Source organism: Homo sapiens, chromosome 1, assembly GCF_000001405.40.
Source record: "Homo sapiens chromosome 1, GRCh38.p14 Primary Assembly".
Taxonomy (NCBI): Eukaryota; Metazoa; Chordata; class Mammalia; order Primates; family Hominidae; genus Homo; species Homo sapiens.
This window is the reverse complement of record NC_000001.11, coordinates 96,472,968-96,485,378: the sequence shown is the minus strand read 5'-3', so window position 1 is coordinate 96,485,378 and position 12,411 is coordinate 96,472,968. Positions and strand designations below refer to the sequence as shown.

Here is a 12,411-nt window from a genome sequence, read left to right as displayed (position 1 = left end):
TCTTGGCTACACATTCAGCTGAATAATTTTGCTTAGTACTCAAAATCATGCAAACAAGTAGACATGATTATCCTCTTTCACAGAAGAACAATCCAGTTCAGAAATTAAGCAACTTGCCGAAGGTCAGTCACCTAATGAATTCGGGCTGGAAGCAGAACTCAAACCCTGGACTGTCTGACTGCAGAGCCTTGCCCATTAACCAATCTGCTGTGCTGTATTGTCTTTGTTAACTATTATATTATACTGCTTTTGTTTTGTTTTGTTAAGAAGGTACCTCTAGATATCGATTTAGCAGACATCGTTGCTTTTTAACAGGTACATTTAGTATTTGTGGAGTGCTAGAAATGAGCAAAGTATTTAACAGACACATAAAAAATTGTTAAGAGAAATCTGTCAGGTGAGAAACATACAAAGTAGGACTACAGAATATGGATGAGTCAGATAAAAAATAAGTCAAAAGAAGGTGAGGGGAAGTAAGTTATTGAATTAAATAGGACATCCTGGATAACACCACCAGTGAGATGGGTGAGGGGCACCAAAGATGCTATGATGAGAGGAGTCAGTATGGGGATAGACTGAAATAATGAATAATAGAGAAAAGACAAATAAGAATTCTGTTTGAATTTTTTAAGGTTAGAAATTAGGGAGAATACTCAACCTTCCAATATTCATTTATTCCACAAACATTCCTTAAGTGCCAATTATAAAAATAGTAATTGTTTTATGCCTTCTGGTGACAAAGATTGAGGAAGAAAAACAGACATATAAACAATAACATGTCATGAGTGCTATGATAGAACTTGTGCAAGGAATAGTGAGGCAAAGAGGAAAGACTCATTAAAATTCTAGAGAGAATGCCAGTTAACTTCTATGTTTCATAGAAAATGCAACAATTTAATAGATTCTCAAAAGATAAGGAAGCTTTTACCAAGTGAACTGGGGAAGTGATATGGGAAAAGAAAGATATTTCAAGGAGGAAACAGGATGTGCAATGGCATGAAGGCATGGGTCATGGGGGATCTGTGAGTAGTTTTGAACGGCTGAATGAAGCATTAGGATTTAAGAAGACTGTGCAGAGATGTAAGCCTAGAGAAGTAAGTGGGGTCAAAGTCATGGGGACTTTAAATGGGGAGCTGGTGCTGAGAAGTCACTGAAGAGACTATGAAAGACATCCATCATCTAAAAATCACCCTGGTAGCAATGTGGCAAATGAGTAAGGGGGCTAAAACTGAAGACAGGAAGACAGGGTAGGAAACTGTGCAATACATGGTTGAAATAGGGAGAGAAACAGCTAGATAAATTCAACAGATCGAGCAAGTAGAATTTATGACTGATTGTGTACTGGGAGTGATTCTGTACCATATTTTGTAATTAAGCAATGGATGTTAGAATTGTGAATAAAAGGATGGCTCTGTCACTTCCTTATGGGAAAAGAACAACTGACTAATTTTATACAAATGCTATTTTTCAACTTCTGTACTGTTTAGTGGTTAATACAGCTCTTGGTTCAAAATAGTCCTACTTCTTCAAATCTATCCACATCTCCTACAATAAGAATTTTTGATACTTAACAGGACCTCTGTAATTCTCTAGTCCCAAGCTTCTTCTCTATTGTCCCATCACCTAGATAAATAATTTAAAGGTGAAACTACTTATCAAGGGCAACACAGTAAATTAGAGGCAGGGTCATGAGTAGAACCAGGTGACCTTACGCCCAGGCCACACTGAGTGCCCCTTAAACATGGACCGTATGGTACATTTCCGCTTGGGCTCAATTCCAGGGAAGATTATAGGTATTCAGATGATTTTTGGGTTTCCGTAGTTGTCAGAAAATTTACATTCAAATATAATATTCAATTGCTATAATTTGCTCAACACGAGTGACTGAAAGCATCTATCTCTCTGCTTCTGTTCTATTCTTTTTTTTTTTTTTTTGAGATGGAGTCTCGCTCTGTCACCCAGGCTGGAGTGCAGTGGCGCAATCTCTGCTCACTGCAAGCTCTGCCTCCCGGGTTCACGCCATTCTCCTGCCTCAGCCTCCCGAGTAGCTGGGACTACAGGTGCCCGCCACCACGCCCGGCTAATTTTTTGTATTTTTAGTAGAGACGGGGTTTCACCGTGTCAGCCAGGATGGTCTCGATCTCCTGACTTTGTGATCCGCCCGCCTCGGCCTCCCAAAGTGCTGGGATTACAGGCATGAGCCACTGCGCCCGGCTATTCTTAAGTACCTTACCTTGCATTGCATTTTACACTGCTGGCCACCTTTATGTCCTTTAGGATGGTTGATGGGAGTAAATTTATTCACTGTAAGTAAATAAATTTCTCAATAATTAGTTTTCTTCACAGCAGAAATATAACTCTTTTATGTTTATGTCCAACCATCTCATCATGATATTTTTGTGAGGTGGGAATGTAAAAATTTCAGGGGACTTTTCCATGAGCAGGAGAAAAGTCTGCTTAGGATGAACAAGTAGAAGCATTGGTGGAGTTGCGGCTCTGTGAAAGCTCTTTTGAAGCTGTGTTTGTCTTTGTTGAAATATCACCAGGCAAGCCTCTTTATCCTAATGGCACTTGCTGCATATTTTGCTCTCCCAGCTTCTCAGTCTCCCGCGGAGTCTTTACTAGAAGATTATCATGATAATTCAGTCGTGCATCCTTCTCCCCACTCCCAGTTCAAATGTTTTTACTTTGATTAAATTAAAACAATCAGAGGAAAGTGTATAAAAGCCTAGAAACCTAGTACTTAACCTATACAATTTAAAAAAGGTCTAATATTATAGCTGCAGGAAAAGCATAGCAGTTCAAGATAAAACGAAAGCAAAGGAAGGCAGTCTTACCAAGAAGATGTGATACATGATGTGACTTTTCTGCTGGAGGCAAGTGGGAACTTTACTTGTAATATGTGTTATAAGGCTAAGTCCTAGAATGGAGACTGGAAAGCCTTCTTTTGTGAGTGGGTGGAGACTGAGGCCGGGGAGGAGAGGAGCAACTTCTACTGTAGGTTCAGCAGGGTTTGCATTAGCTGGTTCTGGCCATTCCAAGTGAAGGTCATCAAAAAATTGTGTGGGAGAGGCAGGCCTGTGATAGCCAGAGAAAATACAGAATAAACAAGTAGCTTTATAAATGACATCATGTGCTGAGTGTATTTTATAAACTGATAGTCAGGACTTAGGGACTTGGGGTTTAACGAGTCTGCATGTATTTATAATGGCAATAGAAATAAATATTTGAGATTAGAATTAATTCTTGGATATAAAGTCACTGTAACCATAGTAAATATTGGTTGATTTTACATGTAGTATAAGGAAGAGTTGGATTCTTTTGGAAATTGCATTCGCTGTCTGCTATGGTTGTGGCTTGGGTGGTAGCCTGAACTTCAAATTAAGCAGAAAGCATATCTTCATATCTTTAGTGCTTTAAATTTTTTTTTGATTGTGGCCCAGTACCTTTAATTTCACAACCTACTAAAACTATACACATAACAAACACATAAAAGTAAAACAAAAGTTCAGGAAACAATACTGTTACTAAATGTAATATATTTGGATTTTTTTTTCTATTCTATTCTTTTATGACCTATTACTTTTATTAAAATCTTGGTGCAAATCTCTAAATGGATTTCAAGACTCATCAATGGGCTGCAACCAGCAGTTTGAAAATCACTGCTTAAGGCAACTGTTGTAAAATCAGTCAGCTCGACTAAACCAGAGAATCTACTTGATCCGAAAGGTAGAAAACCAAACAGATGTAGAATGGTCCCTCTTGATCATATGAAAGCAGAAGCAAGAAGTGTTTGATGGTGGGAAACTACAGAGAGGAAATTCTTAGTGGGAGATTTATTAGCTTTGTGGTCTAGGAAACATCATTCTCAGAGTCAGTATTCTACTTGATGATAGAAAACCCAGAGAGAGGAGGGAAACAATATTATTTTTCTAATAAAATATTGAATTGCTATTAATATGATTTTCTATTGCAATTATAATCTGTTGTAAGCCTGCTCTGCAGGGACTGAGCCTAATTCTCTCTTGTGCAGAGCCTGGCATCCTGTTGGCAGCCAGCACATGTTTATTATGGGTAATAACAATAATAATACTAATAATGATAACTTGGTGATTAGAATCATTTGCAGTAACATCCAAAGCTAGGATTATAAGAACTTCTTTCCTATAGCTTCCACTTTTATTCTCCATGGTTTATATTTTTTCTAATCATAAAAAATACTTTCCTTATTTCCCTTCTGATTTAGTCTATTTGGCAAACATTAATGTTTTTGAGCATTTTTTTTCCTTATGGACCTCAAAATTAAATGTCTTCCCATTTGACTCCTTGTTTGTCTTAACAGAATCACTGATGAGGTCAACACAGCTAGAACAGGGAGATTCATTTGTTAACTGTTGCTGCAGAAGCCACAAAGAGCACAAAATCTCACAGAACATCATTTTGGTGTTCTTTCTATAATAACAGCATAAGTTACTTAATTTTCTCAAATTTTCAGTGATTAACTTATTTTTAAAAATTAAGAAGCAGGAAAATGAAAATAAAATAAGACAGTGTATGCTTTTTTCTCAGACTTTACCAAATTTTAGTTTCAAATTAAGGCTCTAATTCAGCAGGGGTATAAATGGAGAGAGGGGATGAGAGAAGTAACTACCTGCCAATGGGAGGATAGGGATACTTGAGACATAAATGTGACAGTAGGAAAGGGAAGAGGAAACCTGGTGGTAAGGTAGACAGAGTGGTGGGAGAAAGTATGAAGGAAGTATTAAATATGGCCACAGCAATAGATAGGTGACCTGAGCACCAATCCAGGGAAAAGGGATGGAATAGAAGTGGAAAGGAATGGACTGTTGGTAATGGGATAGGGAATTCCAAATAGGGAGAAAGGAAAGGAGATATAGAGAGATATGGGCTTTCTGGCTGGAAAAGATGGAGAAGAATTTCAAGTTGACACCATCTTTTATAACAAGGAGATTAAATTAGTAGCTATTTGCTTACCTTCAAAGTTTTTTCCCCCTTATATTAATTATATGTATAAAATAACTTTAGGCAAGGCGCAGCGGCTCATATCTGTAATCCCAGCACTTTGGGAGGCCGAGACAGGTGGATCACCTGAGGTCAGGAGTTTGAGACCAACCTGGTCAACATGGCAAAACCTCATCTCTACTAAAAATACAAAAATTAGCCGGGTGTGGTGATGTGCACCTGTAGTCCCAGCTACTTGAGAGGCTGAGACAGGAGAATCGCTTGAACCTGAGAGGCGGAAGTCGCAATGAGCCAAGATGGTGCCACTGCACTCCAGCCTGGGTGACAGAGGGAGACTCCATCTCAAAAAAAAAAAAATTAATTAAATTAAATTAATTTCCTCACCCTAGTAAGTATGTTGTGCTTCAAGAATTTTAGGCCGGGCGCGGTGGCTCACGCCTGTAATCCCAGCACTTTGGGAGGCCGAGGCGGGCGGATCACGAGGTCAGGAGATCGAGACCATCCTGGCTAACACGGTGAAACCCCGTCTCTACTAAAAATACAAAAAATTAGCCGGGCGTGGTAGCGGGCGCCTGTAGTCCCAGCTACTCGGGAGGCTGAGGCAGGGGAATGGCGTGAACCCGGGAGGCGGAGCTTGCAGTGAGCCGAGATCGCGCCACTGCACTCCAGCCTGGGCGACAGAGCGAGACTCTGTCTCAAAAAAAAAAGAATTTTACACATTTTAATATTATGCCCAATGTTGTCATTCCCTCCCAAATAGTACTGTAAAACCAAATTTATTCTTTTTTTAAAATCTGTATAAATTTAAATTTATTCTTTTTTTAAAATTTATTATTATTATACTTTAAGTTTTAGGGTACATGTGCACAATGTGCAGGTTAGTTACATATCTATGCATGTGCCATGCTGGTGCGCTGCACCCACTAACTCGTCACCTAGCATTAGGTATATCTCCCAATGCTATCCCTCCCCCCTCCCCCCGCCTTAAATTTATTCTTAATTAAGTCTATTAACTATGGCTTTCCCTCTTAGTTGATATCACATTCAATTAAAATTCAGGTTATTTAGTGGAAAAATCACAACCTTTCCTATTTATATTTTTATAGAATGGGAGATCTGATCCAAGCCATGGCATGGATTGAAGGTAGTGTAGGTTATAATGGTTAGGACAACTGGCTCCAATCTTGGCTTTATCCCTGTCCAGTTGTGACGCTTTTAATAGTTTCCTCATTTTTAAAATAGAGGTAATAATATCTAACTCAGAGGGTTATTGTGGGGATTGAAACAACAATGATGAAAGCAACATCTTTAGCATAACTTAGCACATCACAAAGGCTAGTAAAACAGTATCTGTTATTATATATTCATTAGAAGACTTCAGGGGAGTGTATTTATTAAGACAGAAGAAACAGCTAGGAGATTACAGTTTATTTTACTTTTTAAATTAGGTATATCTGAGACATGTGTGCATCGTGGCACCTGTCTCACAGACTCGATAAGGAGGGTTGAGGGGGTTAACGTAGAGCGGAGTAAGTAGTCACTATCACCGGCAACATCTACATCACTGCTTTCTCATACCCATCGGATATGAAAAGCTGAGTTAAACACCGTGACATCTACTGCTCTTTATGTTAAATAAACCGACGCCTTCCATAAATTAAAATGATTTTATTATGCAGTGTGACACAAGGTTATCCAATATGCCAGAGAGGTGCAACTGAGTCTGTTGTCAGGGGAAAGTGCAGGTAGGCTGTGTTCAAAGCTGCAAGTACCGTGTCAAAAAAGTAAAAGCCCTCTCTGTTTAGTAAATGCATTTGCTGAGCCCTAATAAACTAAGAATGGAAAAAGGTTAATTGACAAAATGATACTTGTCTAATGCTGTCCCAAGCACTGCACTCAGGCAGATGTGTGCGACAGGGATCCTGCTGTGCTGACAAGGATGATTATCGTAACTGACACTTTTTGCCCTCAAGGGTGTGTGACTTCTAGAAGCTTTTCACCCTGGAATCTCACTGTTGCACTAGAGCCAATCCAAGAAGGTTTACAAAACACGCAAGCCAAAGGACAATGCAGTTTAGACTTAAGTGTGGTAAGGCAAGGCCACAGATTGGCATGAGTTTCAAATGTTGCTGTTGAAATTCCACTTTGCATTCACTGCTTTCATTTACTGAATTACCCATGTGCCAGGCACTGCGTAAGAGCTCTCTCCCTATAGCTTATTTTATTCCCACAAAGATTCAGTGAGTTAGGTGTTAGTCTCCTACAGATACAAATAGTGAAACTGAGGCCATCACAATACTCTGACTACATTGTGCTTTCAGTTTCCAAAAGCAATTGATTATATCAATATATTAATCCAACTTTTTCTTTTTCATGATTTTTGACTAATTTACTGATACAGCTAGGGTCCTAGACATGGTGTCTGATTCAGCTCAGCAAATAGAAAAGGATTCCCTTAAACCTGTTGCTGTGAATTCCACTGGAAATATGAAGGGCATCCACTTAACTTTCCAACTGAAGAGGATGGGGAAACCCACACCTTTGCTTTTCTAATCCTTGAGCAAGACTGAAATTCCCTGGGAAGAGCAACAGATTTGATATGGAGCTTAGAGGAGATGGTGTTGTAGGGGAAAAAAAATAATTTTCTCCTCTACCCTTCATGAGAGCGTAGGTGGGACTCCCTGTAACAAGAAACAGATTTAAAAGAGAAAAACAAATAGAAGTTTAATAACATGTATATTTCTTTTATACGTGGAAGATAACTAAGAGAACTGAGTGCATCTCCAGATCTCAAATAATTGTCTTACACGTCAGGCTTAAATGCCATGTTCCCTGAAACAAAGAAAGAAGAAGGTAGGGAAAAGCTTGGTTAACCATAAAGCAACGGTAAGGTTTATTATGAAGATTGAAGTCCCCGACTTTATTTTCCATTGACTGAGACTCTCTAGTGATTTAATCTTCCCTCACTTGCTGGTGCAGAGTGGGAGACACACTCACAAACGGAGATTTTCTTGATAGATGTAAATTTTGCCTACGAAAGGGCAACTTCTCAAAGCTTCTCCTATGTCTGCAGTTTCTTAAAATAACCAGCTCAAAATAATCCGTATGCCAAAAAAGCATATTTTGTGTGGCATATTCTGGTTTTCTATAGTCGTATTTTGCAGGGAGTGTCCTGAACCTCATCAGTGCTGTGGCTCTGTGACTGTCTGATGGTTGAAATAAGAACAAATCAAATAGCAAACCTACATATGAATGCATACATTAAAGTGACACATAGTACCTTTCATAAATAGTTACCTGCCTGTTGGGTCCTACTGGAAAGCAGGGAATAATCATGATTTTTTTCAAAGCTACTAAGGTTGTTAGCTGTGATATAAACTAAACAGAATAACAAAAACCTTTTCCAAGTAGAAACTAGTTCTATTTTCATAGTCAACAGAGCAAGGCTCTTAAAACCTAAATGTCTCACAAGTACCTTCTAATGGGTTTATTGCTTTGTTTATTCTGCTTAGAGCAAGTCAGGGGGCAATCTGCAATTTGCATCACTAAAAATCTTTTTTGAAAGTGTGTTGACATTTCAGTTTCTGGTTTTGAAGTGCATTAAACAGCTCTCTTAATGTGTGCAGTGGTCATCTGTCCAGACACTGTGGACACATAGGCATTGTCACATTCCAACACAGGCTGTCACATGTATGGATACATCTACCCACATTAATATGCCTGCCTTCCCAGATGCACATTAGCTGTGGTTATTTTGATCCCTTTTGCCTAACCATTTCTAGATGTTACTTTCAGATACATCAGACATGATGGTTCACCTTAGGTCTTTCTAATCAGTAGGTGGATATTTACTTTATTCTTAAACATTCTTCTTTTAAGTCAGACATCTTTTTTTATTCTCTTTCCTCCAACATACTAATGACAAAATTCTCCACGTTTTTCCATACAATTGGACATATCTCCCAGAGTGTTCACTTTCCCCAAGCACTCTTCCAAGAATCATTTTCTGAGTTCCCTTTAGACAAACTAAAGGGCTCCTCCAGGTAATAAAGCATGACTAGGAACACAGAAAAAAGCAAATGCACATTAAGATGCATAAAGTAGTCATCAGTAAAAAGAAAATTAAAGAAATTGTGTTGGTCATTTTATTGTCTCTTGATTTGAATACATATGCTATGTAGTATATATAGTTCAGATTTTAACATAAACTCCTTGAGTTACACTGTCTTTCTCTGTTTCCATTGAATAGTGAAGAGACTTCATTGTCAGGACACTTTGCCTCCAGTCTTGAGAACAGAATGGAGGGGGAAAAGTACACATAATTAAAGATCTGTCACCAATGCCCAACGAACTGGAACAAGTAGACAAGCCATTTGCCTTCTCTGAGGTTCCATTTCCCCAGAAAATACGTACATACATACATACATACATACATAAACAAATAATAAATTTCGTGATTTGTGTGTTGTCAAAGCAAAATTGCATGGAACAAAACAGTCAAGGAAGATTAGTAAAGGCTACTGCAATAAGGGATAGAGACAAGAATAGTCTTCATGAACTCAACTCTTCTCAAAGAAAGCCTGAGTTTTTAGGAGCTGGTGTGGGGGCATTCCTAGGCCATCTGTGCTTGCTAACTGCCTTGGCCAAAGGAAAAGTAAACTTTCTCTCATATCTTCATGGCAAGGGGTAGTTTTACAACTGGGAGCAAGTACCCTAGGAAGTTGGGCTCCTATCCTCCCACAGAAACTGGGAGGGCGGGGCAAATATATTTCCCTTGATGTTTACACTTGAAAGAGATGGCTCCTGGGCCTTTGAGAAAGACATTCTTGGGTTGTAAAACTGGCAAGAGGAGTTTTAAAAGATTTACATCTCAAAGGGGTGGAAAAAGAATTTACAAGGTTTCTAAAGTAAATGCTCTAAGAAAGAGGTCGGGGGCCTTGAAGAAGACCGTCTAAAGCTTTGTTAGACACCCACTGACCACCAGGGCTTTAATGATTCCCTTTAATCAAGCTGAGGGGAACCATGAAGGCCCTCTGGGTCAGTGGGTGTGTTTGAGGGTGGGAAGGAAAATTGTGGACAAGATCAATGTTCTCCTTTCTGGGCTTTGATTGCATTAAGTCTCCTGCATGTTAGGGTAAAGTGTGACCAAAACCGAGGAAGAAGTGTCCCTTAGTGAAATGTGTGGGCCAAGCCAAGCCCTGCAGGGCATGCTTCCTTCCTACTGTGGCCTTCCAGGTGCCCCCTAGCTATGTCTCTGAGCGGTCCCTACCACCCCACCACAGTACTGGCATGCCCAATCCCACATGTGGCCTAGTGTGGAGGAAGGCTGTAAGGGCGGGAGAAAGATAACCACTTGCTGCTTTAGCATCACCCGAGGAAATTTCTAGAAATGTAAAAACTCAGGCCTCACCCCAGACCCAGTAAATCAGAATCTACATCACAACAAAATCCCTGGGTGATTGGCAGGTACATTAAAATTTTGGAATAGAGGATCCTGTAAACAAAATCTGTCAGGAAGTGGCACACCCATGACACCTACCATTAAGCAAGAAAGACAGGGAATTCACTGAAATGCCCATAGTCAAGGTGGCTACCACTATGCCAAGAAATGACTAACTTGAGAGACAAGCCATCTTCCTCAAGTTAAGAGTTTTGAATCAGTCTGGGGAAACTTACCCTCCTTCTCACAAATAACCAGCAATTTTACTTTTCCAGTTTTTCCCGCTGGTTTCCTACCGCCCTCATTAGAACCTCCCTCTTTCCACTCTGTTGCCGTTGACACCTAGAATCATCCTTTAGCTATGCCCAGATACCTCTGCAGCCCTTTTTCACTGCCATTAGCCTCTGCTCTTTAGGGACAGACCCAGGTCCTGACATTTGGATTCTGGTATATGTTATTTGTTATTCAGATTCACCCGCTTCTTCCAGAGAGCAGCCTGAATTTTTAAAAGAGCATAAACTCATAACACAATTTCAGAAGAACTGGATGAGTTTACTGCGATACTCTGAATAACGATAGACAAATCCTGGGACGTGAGAAATGCTAATTTCAACTGGCGCTGTGAAAGCAGAGGATCGGCTTTAGCCCAGAGATATTTGCAATGAAGAACACACCGCTGAGCAGACAGCGCTCACTCCCTCTGCTCCCAGCACCCTGTGGCTTAGCCCTCCTTTTTATTTCTATTTTCTCCCTCCACTGAAAACACCTTCCCTGGTGCCCAGCTCCTGCTCAAGGCCAACACCCTGACAGACAAGCAATCTCACAGTACCTGGGGGGAAAAAGCTGTTTTAACTAAAATAGATCAGCCAGGATATTTTCTTTGACAATGCTCTCTTCATGCAGTTATACCTCTCCTACACACTGCCCAAGGGGATGAAAATGGGAGTCAGCGGGGAATTCACATCTGAGTCATCTCTCACCGACTCACTCCCTGGGATCACTGAGGCTGTGTCTAAATGCAAAAGTGTCTCCCCCATTGTTCCTGAATTCATTGTGCATCAGAAAGCATTGCAATGGGAGTCAGGAGGTGTGTGGGGTTCTAATCCCAATTTTGCCAGGACCTCACTGCTTAGCCTTGGGCTTTAGCCTATTCTTTCTGTACCTCAGTTTTTCCTCGGTTAAAAGAGAATTTGGACTAGACCAGTGGCTCTTAGCCTTGGCTACTCATTAGAATAATCTAAGGATCTTACAAAACAAAACAATACAATGACAACAAACTAATACTGGAACTCCACCTCCCTGTCAATTAAAACAGACTCTCTGTGCATGGGGATCGACTTTGGTAAGTATTTTCAAAGCTCCCAAGATGCTTTCTAATGTGCATGTAGGATTTAGAACCATTGGACTAGGATTCTCATCAAATGTGTGTCAGAGGACAAGAAGCATCAACATCACCAGGAAACTTGACAAGAAATGCAGAATCTAGGGCTCTACCTGACATTCTGGCCAGATCTCCATCTCTTCTAGCACTGCCTAATAACATATGAATTGTCATTTCATTTTAGTCACAGTTACAGATTTTAGGGACTCTTTCTTTTATGTAATAAATATCCCTTGAGCATTTACTCTGTGGTAGGAACATGTGAAAAGCTGGGGATGAAAAGTGAACCAGGAAAACATGGTTTCTACCATGGCAGAGCTTCAGTCACTGGGGGAAGACAGATCCTAATTACATCATCACACAGGATAATGTGCTTGAGGAGAGGGAAAATATGGGGAGTTCTGAAAGCACCTAGTAAGCAGGAAGGAGGTCAACTAGGTTAGGGAAGACTTTCCTGAAAAACAAACTTTAAGCTTTATAACTAGTGCATCCTGTGATGACATAGATCTAGTTTTATATCTGTATATACCCATGATTTCTGGAAAAGCATAGACTGATATTGAACCTTCTTTGCCTTTGTATGTTTGGGTAACTGAGAATTGACTAT

The 12,411-nt window shown here is 39.9% G+C and overlaps 1 long non-coding RNA gene across 2 annotated transcripts in view, besides 1 other annotated feature; it reads right to left on the bottom strand.

The window, feature by feature from the left end:
- LOC105378866 (uncharacterized) overlaps nt 1-2,912 on the bottom strand; it is a 41,877-nt gene extending 38,965 nt beyond the window's left edge. For both annotated transcript variants that reach the window (XR_947617.2, XR_947618.2), the window contains exon 1: nt 2,838-2,912. This is a non-coding gene — a long non-coding RNA (uncharacterized LOC105378866). The remainder of the gene's footprint in view (nt 1-2,837) is intronic.
- Nucleotides 9,391-10,243: an enhancer, noted in NCBI's record as "OCT4-NANOG hESC enhancer chr1:96940692-96941544 (GRCh37/hg19 assembly coordinates)". NCBI's record gives its function as "activates a minimal SCP1, AML or CMV promoter by ChIP-STARR-seq in naive H9 embryonic stem cells {active_cell/tissue: H9 hESC(naive)}" and the evidence as "EXISTENCE:reporter gene assay evidence [ECO:0000049][PMID:30033119]".